Here is a 14,558-nt window from a genome sequence, read left to right on the forward strand (position 1 = left end):
GCTCTCTCAGAATCCAAGGGAAGAGCTTCAGGAAGCTCTTCAGGAAGGAAGCAATTATCATTGGTGTAAATAGTGTCAAATACCACAGAGGTGTCAAGTAAGATAACTTAATCACTGGATTGAGAGGTCTGGGAGTAAGCTGAAGGGAAAGCAGTCAGAGGGTAGCAGCAGCAGGTGAGGAGGGAGCGCACTTTCAGACATGTGAATAGCCTTCCTTTACCTTCACCTCGATGGTGAACGGTGGAACACAGGCGTTTTCTGCTCTGCCCACTATCACTTCCTCTAAGGGGTCCCATTCGTTGTAAGAAGAGACAGGGCAGTCCTTGGGCAGAGGCTCAGTGGCTTTGTCGTCAGCTGCACAGGAGTTCCGGGAGGAAGCCGTAGCTGCCTGGGTGCTCTGGAAAGTTCGCTGCACCCATCCTGTCAAGGTTCGTCCAAGCTTCCAAGAACAAAGAAAAGATTATTGTATTGCATTGCTCTATCAGTACTTACAGAGAGGAGGAAGTGGAGATGGAGTAAAAATCCAGCATAACATTGCCACTTAAACCCCTTTAGAACAGCATAAACCAAGACGTTAACAGTGTGTAGGTGGGTAGTGGGATTACAGATAATTTTTTTAACCCTCTTGTTTATCTACAAATTGTCTTCTTATCTATTAATTGCTGTAACTCTTTAAAACTCCTCAGAAGACCGTGTCCCCAGCTACCATACACCCCCATCTTTATCTCAGAATGCAATTCCTGCACTCAAGCTTTAAGCAACTGTTTTGCAGATGGGTCAGTCCTCCTCTCAGAAAACCATAGACAGCTGCTCTAAAACTTCCCGCCAGTCTCAGCTGGGGACGGAACCTCCTTTTCCCTTAAGTATCAAAGGTTACCAATATTAGGCTTTTTATTTATTTTTTTTTACAAATGAAAAGTTGGGAACATTTGTAAAGGACCTTATCTTTCAGAATAACCAGCTTCAAATCAAATTTTTTTCATCTTTGACATACACTTCGCATTCTTTGGCACTTCAATTCTGAGAGTGAGCAACTGCCATCTGCTCCATTTTACAGATGGTCCACAGTACCCTAGCCAAGGTCAGGATTAGCTCAGGCGTAAATTCAAACAAATAAGAAGGAGATCTAAAAACTTCAAAAGCCTTTTAAAAATGCATGGCCTATAAAATCTAGAGCAGGGAGGGTCCCTCAACCCCTGAGCAAACCTCAACCCCCCAAATCTCTATCCTGCTCTGTTAAAAGCCTTAGGAAGTGGGCAGGAGGAGAACTCGGGTGGAGGCAGAAGAAAGACGGAGAATGACAGCTGTTCAGGAACCAGTTGCTGGGAGGAAGCCAGAATGTCGGAGCGATTCCAGTACTAGAAGCATGGGAGGGTCTGCTGCCAGGGCAGCCGAGGGCGGGGAGCGCAGAAACTCTGCTTACAGGCTGCACTCGCCCCGACTCCTCTCCAGACGTGGGATCCCATGTTATACTTGGAGTGAATCTGGTCGCTCGCTCCCCGTCCCCGATTCCCACTTTGCTTGCCTCTTCTCCCCATCCATCTACCCCACACGCATTTTCCAGAAATCTCCCCAACTCGACGCCCACTCAGGCTACTGAACCCCAATAACGCCACCCTTTTACTAAGAGGAGCCTCCGTCGTCCCAACCCCTTGCTCCGAGCGGGAAGCTTGGTGCAGCGCACCAAGGTCCGGTAGAGGGGGGCGGCGCCCCCTGCGCCGTGGGCCAGCAGGCCGCGGACGCGCAGACAGCAAGTGGACCCCAAGGGCTGGAGCCGCAACGCAAGTTCCCCCTGACTGGGGGACGCCGCCCAGCTCCTGGAGCCTGCGAAGGCTCTTGAAGCTGAGCTTCCCAGGGATACCAGAAGGGACACTCTCGTGCAATTCCGGCTAGGGAAAGCGAGGGAAGGTGGCGGCTCCGGGCAGGGAGCGAGCGAGTGCTCCACGCCGCCCGCAGGATCGAGTGAGTCACGCGGCCGCCAGACGAGGCCGGTGGCGCACGCACCCGAGATCCGATGTAGTGCACCGCCTCGGCGCCGCGGCTCCCGCCGCGCAGACACCGCACCCGCAGCATCGCCCTGGCCCGGCTGGTCCACGCGCGGAATGTTCCTGGCCTCTGGGCCGCGTCGGTCCAAGCCTTCCCGAGAGCGCGCCCGGAGCGGGGTGGGCGGGCGCGCGGGGCCCGAGGCCTTTTGTAGCCGCGCTCCGCCCCGGCCGCCCCCCGCGGCCCCATTGGCTGCCGGGAACAGGTGGTGGGGCCGGCGTAGCGCCCCGAATTAGGAACTGTCGGGAAGCGCCGCGGCCGCTGGCTCGAGCCTCCGATGCTTGCCCTTTTTTAGCCAGCGGGGCCACTGACGGCTTCTGTTGCACGTCCGGACCCGGACCCAGACCCGAGCGTCGCAAGAAGGCCCGTTGGAGTCTCGCGCAACTGGGCAGGACGCGACTTCTGACGAAGTGACAATGGTCTATGCATATATTAAGTGAATATTTGAGAATTTAAATATGCAAAGCGTGAGTACAGTGTTACCCTTAAATTCACATATGCGCACTGAACCAGTCACCTCATTTTTCGGTAAACGAAACCACCTAAAGATTAGGTGGTTTCTTGGTGCAACATCGGGTTTGAGACTGCAGAAAACTAAGTCTGGAAATTGGGCCATTTGTTCCCCGGGGAGGCAGTGCTTTCCTTCCAGTACCCCGTCGGTTGTTATTTGGAACACCTGGCATTTCACATGGTCTTTGGCCATATGCCCCTGGCTTGAGAAACTCCGTCATGAAAATCGACAAGTGTGGGTCAGAAATAAGGGAGGACGACAGTTTCGTTCCTTCCATTTCATGTTTTAAAATTTTTGTTTCAACTTGATCAGGATTCTTTTTTAGAAAAGTATTTTCCCTCACAGTGCAGTCTTAATTGCTGTGGATTTGTACAGAGCTAGAGAACTCAGGTTAACATTTATGCTCCTAGCAGGAGGGGGGGCAAGAGATTTGAGTATTTCATTTTTGTACTTATAGAATTATAACTATTCATTTTTGATGAGCTGTCTTTTCAATTTTGGTATCTCAAGCTTGTTTTCCAGAGTTCATGGATGGAAAGCACCAGACGAGCAGATGGCATGGTGGAAAGAGCCTCCGAGAGGGAATTAGGATAACTGAGTTCCAGTCCTGAATCACTTATAGACTACTATATGTCTTCCTGAATTGCAGTCTTCTTATCTGCAAAGTGAGAACAATAGAATTTACTGTCCCTAGCACATGGGGGGTTGCTGAGAGGCCAAAATGAGAGATTGTACATGCAGAACTTGATGCGTGGCATTAGAGCTGTATGAGGCCGGGTGCAGTGGCTCACGCCTGTAATCCCAGCAATTGGGAAGGCCGAGGCAGGCGGATTGCCTGAGGTCAGGAGTTTGAGACTATCCTGGTCAACATGATGAAACCCTGTCTACTAAAAATACAAAAACTAGGTCGGGCGCGGTGGCTCATGCTTGTAATCCCAGCACTTTGGGAGGCCGAGGCGGGCGGATCACGAGGTCAGGAGATCAAGACCATCCTGGCTAACATGGTGAAACCCCGTCTCTACTAAAAATACAAAAAAAAATTAGCCGGGCGTGGTGGCGGGCGCCTGTAGTCCCAGCTACTCGGGAGGCTGAGGCAGGAGAATGGCGTGAACCCGGGAGGTGGAGCTTGTAGTGAGGCGAGATGGCGCCACTGCACTCCAGCCTGGGCGACAGAGCTAGACTCCGTCTCAAAAAAAAAAAAAAAAAAAAAAAAAAAAAGCCGGGCATGGTGGTGGGTGCCTGTAATCCCAGCTACTGAGCTGAGATCGAGCCACTACACTCCAGCCTGGGCGACAGAGCAAGACTCCATCTGGGGAAAAAAAAAAAAAAAAAGCTATATGAGGTAATGTGTTACTACTCTAGCAATAAGGAGGCCCCCAAATGCCATAATATGGTGAAAGGAGTAAGTCTAGGTTCATAACTTAATTCTGCCACTTAATTTGCTGTGTGACCTGGAACCAAATCCCTTTATCTTTCTAATCAAGGCTTCATACTTCTAGTGAGGTTTTGGGAAATCTCTAACATTTCTCAAAATTTAAAAAGTACTTACTCCCAACAATAAAATGCAGCCACCTCTGAGGTCTGATTCTCTTAGTGTACTGAGGGCAGCCAGAGATGTGCTTCTCCTGAAAAGAACTGAAGAGTACAGTAAGTACACATAACAAGCCCTTGAGATTACTATACCATTTCTGCTTGAGATTGGAGGACATCCTCTTGCCACCCATTAAAAGCACTATTTTAATTTTGCAGATGTAAGAATTGGGAGTGTCTGGTAATAATGAAGTTTACGATGTTGTTAAGTTTTACATAATGAAAAACTCATAGCCAAAGAGCATACCCTTATCTCCTGGGATCCAGCAGAAAGTGTGTGGATAGCGCCACCCAAACCAGTCCTACTGTTATAAAAGCAAATCAAAGCACTCACTCCTCCTTTTTGCTATGCCTCTGATTTACTTTCATTCTTTGTCCTTTTTCCCCTTTTATACCACACTTTTATTCATTCACTACAATTATATTTTTTCATTCTCTTCTATGTTCTGTTTTTGAAAAAATTTGGTAACAATTTCTAGAGTGACCTCATCAATTTAAAGTACAAGCTTTCCATATTAGATTGTTTGTCTAATACTGGGCCAACTCTGCAAAGTATCTATATAGTGATAGTTGGCAACTCCGTGGTCTTTAGTTGCTGCCTTATTCAGAAGAAATGGAATAGACTGTGAAGTCTTGTCTTGCCTTCCCCTATTGGCAGTAGATACCATTAAATACTTTGATTGAACCAATAATTTTAGGATCTTGGTGGTCTCATACCTAGTCGTTATGCATATTCAAGTCTAATAGTAGTTCATCTTTGTAGCTTAACTTAAAGGCATAATTTAGGATAGTGTGTGTATAAAGGGGTCTAAAAGGACAGGGAATAGAAAACATACCAGAAGCATGGCAAAAATTCAGCTTTTCAATTCTTCCTCATCACTGTTGCTTTCGAGATATGCCCAACTCTCCCTAGTTCCAACCAACAAAGCACAGAGTTTTTGAAATGTGTCTTGAAATTAAAAAAGCAAGTAAAGTCATTGGATTAACAAAATAAACAACAAAAGAGCCCGTTGTAAGAATTTATTATTTCTATATCATGGTTGACTTCAGAATCTGTACATAGGGCATAAACAAGTACAGAGGAAGGTGTTCCTAGAACTTAAGAATACAGATACTCTGTGAAATTGGTTAAGCACACACATATACACACAGATACACTGGATGAGATTAGCTATCTACAGAAGTCACCTATTCTAAGAGACATTTGTACCTACAGTTTAGGGGAAGGATATCTCTCAAAGTAAATTAGAAACAATAATGTATTACTCAAGTTCAAACAAGGTGACTAAAGTATATTCTCATGCCTGGAATGTAAATAAAGCTGCAATTTTTTTAGAAAATATTATTTGGGCTGCATCAATAAAATATATTTGGAAGGATACACAGATACTGATAACCTAAGTTGTCCCTGGGGAGGGGACCTGGATGACTAGGAAACAGGAATGAGAGAGATTTTCCACTGTAAGCCTTATTGTACCTTTGAACACGTGAGTGAATTACCTAATAAACAAAAAACATATTTAAAAGACTGCATTTGCAGGGTGTGATTATCAACATGGAGTTTTTAAAAAGGAAGCCTGAGTGGCCAACCTATCGGAGTCTGTTCATCCAGATCTACCTAAGGATGGAATCAGAATATTCTGGCCTCTGGAAAGGTTAAATCTATTGAGGACAAGAATAATTCTGTGGGTTTTTATGAAATATCCCTCAAAACTATTCACCTCCTCTAACTTGTGAGCTCACCAAGCTCATCCCTGGGAACCTTGGCATAGGGGAGTTACCCTGCAGGCTGAGCACAAGTGATCTGATAGCTGGAAAGATGAAGATCTCATTGTAAAGTATTAAATCAGTATTCTGCTGGGTGTGGTGGTTCACACCTGTAATCTCAGCACTCTGGGAGGCTGAGGTGGGTGGATCACCTGAGGTCAGAAGTTTGAGACCAGCCTGGCAAACATGGCAAAACCCCATCTCTACTAAAAATACAAAAATTAGCCAGGTGTGTTGGTGCACACCTGTAATCCCAGCTACTCGGGAGGTTGAGGCAGGAGAATTGCTTGAACCCATCTGAGACCAGCCTGGCAAATATGGCAAAACCCCGTCTCTACTAAAAATACAAAAATTAGCCAGGCGTGTTGGTGCACACCTGTAATCCCAGCTACTCTGGAGGCTGAGGCAGGAGAATTGCTTGAACCCAGGAGGTGGAGGTTGCCCTGAGCCGAGATCATACCACTGCACTCCAGCCTGGGCAACAGGAGAGAAACTCTGTCTCAAAAATATTAGTAATAATAATAATAATAAACATTCTAGCTTATCCCTCAGAGTGTGGTGAGTTCTAGCTCAGTTCTTGCTTCCTAATTATGTTTCCCTTCTTAATGTTCTCTTTTTCCTGACTACCTAGTCAATTCCAGGTAAACTGATGGAATTTACTTTCTAAATCTGAAATGCTGTGGGACTGGCCTGATCCCACAATAGCCTGTGTTCCCTGGAATTGCCTGCTTATATGGCTGTTGGCTCCTTAAGGACAGGGAGTCTGTTTTACCCACCAGTATATCCCTAGCACAGTGCCTGACACAGCCAGAGTCCTTAATCAATTGTTCAATGCCACTCTGATGGCCCAGGCTAGAATAACCAGAGCTCCCTCTTTGGTACTTTGCAGTCTTTGATTTCAAATGAGTTACAAAATCTTGTGAAGGCAGCCTCTGCACTGTCCCTTACGAGTCATTTTAGGATTTTTACTAGTTTTGAACAGCTGTGTTATTACTGCTCAACATCTCCCAATGAGGTAGATTCTTTCATTGGAAGACAACTGCAAAACACTAGCTCCAGCTAAATTAAATGCCAGCTTTCTCCAAGTATTTAAAATAATCTCAGCTTAGGTTAGCACTGAAACTGATACAGCTTTAAGAAAACTGAGGAAGAAACATTTGAAGTCTGCTCCAAGGGATCTTCTTATTTTTTTTACTTTAGTCTTCAAATACCCTTCTGGAATTTAAAAACAGTAAACACCATTCTCTTTCTTAAGGTTCTGACTAAACTTAAAGGCAAAGGCCAACCCATTTGCCAAATTGCTGCTTTTTTTTTTTTTAATTTAATGTAGTCTCACTCTGTTGCCCAGGCTGGAGTGCAGTGGCATGATCTCAGCTCACTGCAACCTCCGCCTCCCGGGTTAAAGCGATTTCTGGCTAATTTTTGTATTTTTAGTAGAGATGGGGTTTCACCATATTGGCCAGGCTGGTCTCGAACTCCTGACCTCACAATCTGCCCGCCTCAGCCTCCCAAAGTGCTGGGATTACAGGCATGAGCCACCATGCCCGGCCAGCTTCAATTAATTTTAAAATCATTTCTACTCTAATAATAATAACTACTATTTACTGAGCACTTACTATGTGCCAGATAAGAGCTTCACATGTTATTTCATTTAGTCATCTATGAGGTATTCTTATAATATTTTTGTTTCAAAGATGAAGAAACCGAGCCCTACAGGATTAAACAAATTGTCCTAAGTGAAACAGTGGCCAAGTGGCTAATAGAGCCAAAATTCAAATCCAGGCCTCTAAGACTCAAAAGCCTGAGCCCTTAACTTCTAGGACACTTGATTTTCTCACAGATTCTCAGGAGAATAGCTACTGCATGATGCAGGGTGCATACATGTAGTCCAACTACTTTCAGTGTTCACCACTCCTGTAAGCTGCATATTGTGTCGCATGCTGCCATCTTGATATTTCAAGATATCTCTGAGTGTTTTTTCTGGGAGTTATTTATAACTGTCCTTCTTAGGATAATGCTATACCCATAAAGACTGCATGGTAATGAGTCTTTGACAAACTGAACTTATGTGGGTCAGCTAGAGCTGAATGCTAAAGAGATAGAAAGTCCAGAACTAGTATAAGGCCTCTAAACAAGCTCAGGTATAGCTTAGATCTCTGTTGGGAACTCTACAGAGGCAAGAGAAGGTATTTTAGCATAGGGGTAGCTGTTGCTCCCTGCACTGTAGTCAAAGAAGGGACAGCAGGAAGGGGAAATTGCCTTAGAAGGGTCTGTCCCATTGGGATGGTTCTGGAAATACAATGTATGTTCATCCTGACTTAATTACAACCCTCGGACTTTTAGTGGTAGCTAAAATAGCTCCACTCACGCCACTGAGAAAGCTGTGCCTTACATTTCCCCTAAATTGACACTTCCCCACCCCTCCTTTGTTTTTTGAGACAGAGTCTCCCTCTGTCATCCTGGTTGGAGTGCAGTGGTGCGATCATAGCTCACTGCAGCCTTGACCTCCCAGGCTCAAGCAATCCTCCCACCTCAAACTCCCAAGTACCAGGGACTACAGATATGCATCACTGCCTGGCTAATGTTTACATTTTTTTGTAGAGATGAGGTCATACTATGTTGCCTAGGCTGGTCTCAAACTCCTGGGTTCCCATGATCCTCCTGCCTCAGCCTCCCAAAGAAATGAGATTACAGGTGTGAGCCAACCTTTCCCTTTCTTAACCCAACAGCCTCTAGCACTGGTTGTGCTAGTCAGACAGTGCGTATCTAGACAGTGCCCAAAAGTGAGGAAGTCATATTGGCTAATTCCAGAAATGATGCAGAAGTTAGTGAATCTCTATCATTATGTTACATGATATTGGTGCCACGAAGATGCCACTGTCCATAAACAATCCCTGGTGTTGCAGGAAATATTTTTGGGGCACCTTAGTGGTAAGAAGGCAGCTGTCACTGGACCTTCTCCCTCATCTCATTCTTGTAGCCTAAATTCCTTTCCCAGTACTTTTTCAAACATCTTCTCCAAGCTGATTCTCTATTTACACTTTTTGTCTAAAGCCTCAAAAAAATGCTATAAGAAACAGATTGAATGACCAACAACAATTAAAGAATGGTTAAGGAAATTATTACACATTCAGCATTTGGCAAAATGCTTGGGTCTTAGATGAATAAATACATTTTTCTTAATATTTCTTAAGTGAATGAATAAATTTAGGATTTATAATAAATAAATTTCATCATAAGATGAACATGCACCACTAAATAATGTTTAAAGAGAGTTTTTCTTTTAATAAGCTAGGATGTGGAGGATGTGTCATTTTAAAATATGTCAGGTTGACATATTATTTTGAGTTGAAAACATTAGAGAAAATTTAGTCTTAGAAAAAGGAAGCTGACCTGTCTCTCTGTATATAGTAAGCAATAAAGATTTCTCTGGGAGGAGTACCCTCTCCATACTAGGGCGAGAAAACAGCTCTTATCACCAGAGACTTGGAATTGCAGTTGACAATGGACCTAAACAAACATACTTAATGAAGTAACTCTTATCTTTCACCAGTTTTATACCCCACCATATATCTCCTAGTGACTCCTCTAGAAAATTCACTGTCCCTAGCCAGATTGTCTTTGTCCTGTCATTTCTACTCAAATTTATTGTTCCTTGTCTAAAAAAGTATAAAAGCATCTTGCTTTGACTACTTCTTCACACTTCACTTTCCTGTGGAGATCCTTATGTACATGTAAAAGTAATAAAATTTGTACGCTTTTCTCTTGTTAATCTGCCTGCTCTCAATTTGGCCTCTACATCCAGCTAAAAAGCCCACTAAGAGCTAAAAGTGGGGTTGGAAGTGATCTCTGGCTTCCTCACAATATTAACTGAAAAATAACCGAATATGAAATTGTATGTACAGTATTCTCTGAACCATGTTGAACATATGTATGCACATAAAATTCTGGAAAGAAATTTACCAAAATTTAAATAGTGACAATCTTTGCGTGGAGATGTAATGGGTAACCTTTATATTCTTCTTTCTGCTTTTCTGCAATTTGTATACCTTTCTCTATGAGACTTTGCTACATTTATAATCAGAAAAAAACCCTAATCGCTATTATTTTTAGAAGCAAAAGGCCCTGTGTCTGCTTAGAAACAACTCTTGTTGTCACAGATATTTTCCCTTGCAGCTCTGCCCTAAGAAAACTGTAGATACTGCTCTGGGAGAAAACCTCCCACAGCCACCTGGCTCCTCTCATGTCCATACACGCTGTGATCTGGCAGAACAGGGAGATTAGCGTGGGAAGACACTTCTGCCTATCTCTCTGTTGTGCACTTTGCCCAGTTCTCAGTCTGTGCTTGCTATTTCGCTCCTGTCTGTCTCGCTTGTTGCTGGTAGGGAATTTTCCAGAATTATCATTCCCAGCAAAAGGCACTTCTCTAGCTGGGCCCTGGGAATTGAAGAAGTAACATTAGCCAGTTTTCTGCATCCCTCTCGAATATTCTTACTTGTCTTGGGCAACATCCCAGGAGGAAGCACTCATCTCCTCCACTTATGGTCATTTAAGTGACAAAACGTCCTCCATAGTCACGTTCTCCCTGCTAAAGAAAGGTCTGTTCAAATAGAATTATTCAGAATTTGCAAGCTTAGAATCAAAGTAGGGTCCAATATTGAACTTTTGCTTAGGAACTCTAAATTACTGTTTACCATGCTATTCAGAATTTAAAAGCAAAACTGAATACGAAGACCATATAAGACTATATATTGCAAAGGCTAAACTAGAAATATTCAGCTATAAGATGGAAATGGAATGACCTGTGAGGCATGAGGTTTTTATGAAGGCTTGATTTAGTAATGACAGACTATGTCAGCCAACACACTGCCTTTTCTGGAAAGTTATGTTGTTCATGTGACAGCAATTAAATCATTTCAGGGGACAGATTTCAGACATTCCCAAGAGAATGCATCTGCAACTTGAGATACTTGTGCTTTTCTGGCACAATTCTGTAGCAACCAAATTTCTGACTCTGCAGCCAATTTAGCACTGGGAAAATCCAGTAATTCCCAGATATTTACAAACAGCCAATGAAGATAAATGTTTACTAGTATAGGACTAATCCCTCATTGACTCTGATTAGATCAAACAGTACTATTTCATGGTATTCCTGTTTTTTTTTTTTTATGTCCAAACCTTCTGTAACATCTCCAGAAGAATGAAGCAACTTCTTCCTGTGTACCACAGCACACCTTGTTAATACTTTTTTTAGAGCACTTATACATGGCTGTAACAGCTTGTTTACATATCTCTTTCGCCAGACCTCTGGAGAGCAAGGGCTACAGCTCCTGTTGTACTTAGCACAGTGATTATCACTTAATAAATGTTTGTGGAATCAATTGCCTAGTCAAAGTTTTATTTTTTCCCTTGGAATTTGTACCTCACTTTAAAACAATATTTACAATGTTTGAGAGAGGCATATTTACAGAATTTTAAAACTAAGAGGGATCTTATTTTATAGTTGGGATAACCTCATGGCCCAAGGCTAAATGATTCATCCAAATTCACCACACTCTGCTGAGATAAATTCTCAGTGCAATTCTTTTTTCAAGAGTTAAGTGAACTTTTGGAAAACAGACTTTGATTTTATACTCTGGGAATTCAAATCTGAAAACCTTAAACTTCCAAGTCTAGCAAAATGGTGCTATAGGTCTCAAGAAGGGCTTTAAGTGTGATTATATTAATTTTTAAAAAATTAAAGACAGAATCTTGCTATGTTGCCCAGGCTGGTCTTGAACTCCTGGGCTCAAGTGCTCCTCCTGCCTCAGTCAGCCCCCCAGAGTGCTGAGATTACAGGCGTGAGGTACTATACCAGACTGATTAAGTGTGGATATCTTAAGTAGGTATTCTGCACAAGTCAGCCTTCTAAACTTGTGGAAGTCTGTCTGTACTTTAATATGTTAAAATAATTTTCATGAGTTTGTGGGAAATTTTGTTTTCTATCTGTTTTTGGATTTACAGAAAAGTTACAAAGATAGTACAGAGTTCCTGTACACCCATCGCCCTGTTTTGGTTTACCCTGTTATTGTCTTCCACAGCTAAGATACATTTGCTAAAACTAAGCTACCAACACTGTAAATCATTATTAACTAAACTCCAGACTTTACTTGGATCTTACCAGTTTTTCCACTAACATTCTTTTTCTGTTCCAATATCCAATCCAGGATACCACACTATATTTCGTTGTAATGTCTTCTGTGATTGCCTCTGCTCTCTGACAGTATCTTAGTCTTTCTTTGGTTTTTCAGGACTTCGTCAGTTTTGAGGAAAACTAATCAGATATTTTGTAGTCTATGCTTTGAACTGGGTTTATGTATTTCTCATGATTGGACTGGCATTATGGAGTTCTGGAAAGAATACTACCGAGATGATGTGCCCTTTTCATCGTATCGTATCAGGTAGTATGTAATATTCTCATATCACTGATGGTATTAACCCTGTCATTTGCTTAAGGTAGTGTCTGCCGGGTTTTTCCTCTGTAAAGTTGGTTGGTGTTTTTTCCTTTTCATACTTTATTCTTTGGAATTGAGTCTCCGAGACCAACTCCCCTGGAAAGGAAGAGGGGTTTACATACATATATTGCTTGGAATTCTTCTGCAAGGAAGATTTATCTCTTTTCCTCTCCTTATGGAAAATTTAGTTTGATAAGTAATAATTTTCTTAGTTGGAGGAAGTTAAAGTTATAATTGTGCAAGACAGTAACGTTTGGCAGATATAAAATAGTTGGAATATGAGTTTAAAAGATAAAGCCCTCCTTAGGGGATATCATCATGGCCAACACATTTCATATCAATAAACTTTCCAGACAACTGAAGCTTTTTCCTTTAACACTAAAAGTTTTTAAATATATAAACTTCTCCCATTTGTATGGCTGCCTTTCTAAGATGAATTAAATACTTTTCATCTTCTTGAACAGAATATCCTGAACACAATTTAACCTTTTTACAAAAATTGGTCATTATACTGAAATTCACAGCAGTGATGACGGTTGAACTTGATGACCTCTAAGGTTTCTTCCAATCCAAGTTTCTATGGTTTGATAACTATCCAACAAAATTAATGAAGCTATGCTCCCAAATAATCAAAGACTTCTTGTTTTTGCAGGGTTTTTTGTTTTGTTTTGTTTTTTAGACAAAGTCTTGCTCTGTTGCCCAGGCTGAAGTGCAGTGGCACAATCTGGGCTCACTGCAAGCTCCACCTCCCAGGCTGAAGTGATCCTCCCACCTCAGTCACCTGAATAGCTGGGACAGCAGGTGCATGCCACCATGCCCAGGTAATTTGTGTATTTTTTGCAGAGATGGGTTTTTGCCATGTTGCTCAGGCTGACTTCTTGTTTTTAACTTAAGGTTTGTATCTTGGAGTAGTGGTACAGAAAGTCTCAGCCTCACTTCTAGACTAGAAAGAAGCAATAGGTATTCTTACAAAGGCATCCAGGGATGCACATAGGAATCACTTGGGGAGCTTGTTAAAAGGCAAATTCTGATTCAGGCCTAAGATTTTGCATTTCTTTTTTTCTTTTTTCTTTTTCTTTTTCTTTTTTTTTGGAGACAGAGTCTCACACTGTTGCCCAGGATGGAGTGCAGTGGCGTGATCTCAGCTCACTGCAACCTCCACCTCCCAGGTTCAAGCAATTCTTGTGCCCCTGCCTCCCGAATAGCTGGGACTACAGGCACACACCCATCTAATTTTTGCGTTTTTAGTGGAGACAGGGCTTTGCCATGTTGGTCAGGCTGGTCTCAAACTCCCGGGCTCAAGCGATCCGCCTGCCACAGCCTCCCAAAGTGCTGGGATTACAGGCATGAGCCACTGTGCCCAGCCAAGATTCTGCATTTCTAACAACCTCCCACGTGATACCCATGCTGCCAGTCCATAGGTCACATGCTGAGCAAGGACTTAGGGAATCCCACACACCAAATATTGTGGTCTGGCTGTTGACAGGGCTGGTGAGTTCCTAAGGCAGTTGGAGCTTTTCTCTCATGCTGCAAAATATTTTAGACATGGATTGTTTTTTAAGTACAGTTGAATATTACAAAAAGAAGGAGCTAGGTGACAAAAATTAAAAACACATTCCTCTAATAGAAACCAAAGAAAGGAATGAAAATTATTTTCCTTAAATGACCTTTGATGCTATGGTTCCTTTGATTCAGTGAAAGGAGGTATCCAGATCACATCAAAATGACAATAAGCTAGTATTATCATCAGTTGTGTGGAGAGAAGGTCTACTTCTAGAACTTGAGGCTTCTTACCCCAAAATTGCACTTGAGGATTTTAGGACAGCATCAATGCACATTTTATAACATTGTTTCTGCTACTATTTTCTCATAAGCAGAAGTCTGTCCTTTAGGATTTAAGCCATAGTAGCCAACCCCTTAGCCCTTTCAAATTAAGCTGATAAGATACACAGAATCTACTTATTTAAATATAAAATGAAGTATATGATTCCTGAGTGAAATACAGTGCCTTTATTAGGGCAACTAATAAAGGTCTTTCAACTATGAGAAGTCTTTCACATCACTGTATGGATGACCACACAGCCTGTCTGAGACAGTTCCAGTCAGAAGTGCAGTGCTCAGGGAAGTGCACCATGAATGCAGATGTGGAGATC

At 42.6% G+C, this 14,558-nt stretch overlaps 1 protein-coding gene across 6 annotated transcripts in view, besides 2 other annotated features; it reads right to left on the reverse strand.

Annotated features, from left to right (window-relative positions):
* The window catches only part of GATM (glycine amidinotransferase), a 41,104-nt gene that overhangs the window by 15,257 nt on the left and 11,289 nt on the right, over positions 1 to 14,558 (reverse strand). For 2 of the 6 annotated variants that reach the window (XM_047432387.1, XM_047432386.1), the window contains exons 4-5: positions 4,104 to 4,189; positions 221 to 439 (exon numbers count right to left, since the gene is read on the reverse strand). In XM_047432387.1, coding sequence (XP_047288343.1) covers positions 221 to 439; positions 4,104 to 4,189 — 305 coding nt within the window. Of the gene's footprint in view, positions 1 to 220; positions 440 to 2,004; positions 3,213 to 4,103; positions 4,190 to 14,558 lie in introns of those variants that run through there. The other 4 variants (XM_047432385.1, NM_001321015.2, NM_001482.3 and 1 more) reach the window with 4 other exon arrangements.
* Positions 1,963 to 2,292: a silencer, noted in NCBI's record as "silent region_6406". NCBI's record gives its function as "represses an Ori minimal core promoter by ATAC-STARR-seq in GM12878 lymphoblastoid cells {active_cell/tissue: GM12878}" and the evidence as "EXISTENCE:reporter gene assay evidence [ECO:0000049][PMID:35858748]".
* Positions 2,433 to 2,512: an enhancer, noted in NCBI's record as "active region_9356". NCBI's record gives its function as "activates an Ori minimal core promoter by ATAC-STARR-seq in GM12878 lymphoblastoid cells {active_cell/tissue: GM12878}" and the evidence as "EXISTENCE:reporter gene assay evidence [ECO:0000049][PMID:35858748]".

Source organism: Homo sapiens, chromosome 15, assembly GCF_000001405.40.
Source record: "Homo sapiens chromosome 15, GRCh38.p14 Primary Assembly".
In the NCBI taxonomy this organism is placed as follows: domain Eukaryota; kingdom Metazoa; phylum Chordata; class Mammalia; order Primates; family Hominidae; genus Homo; species Homo sapiens.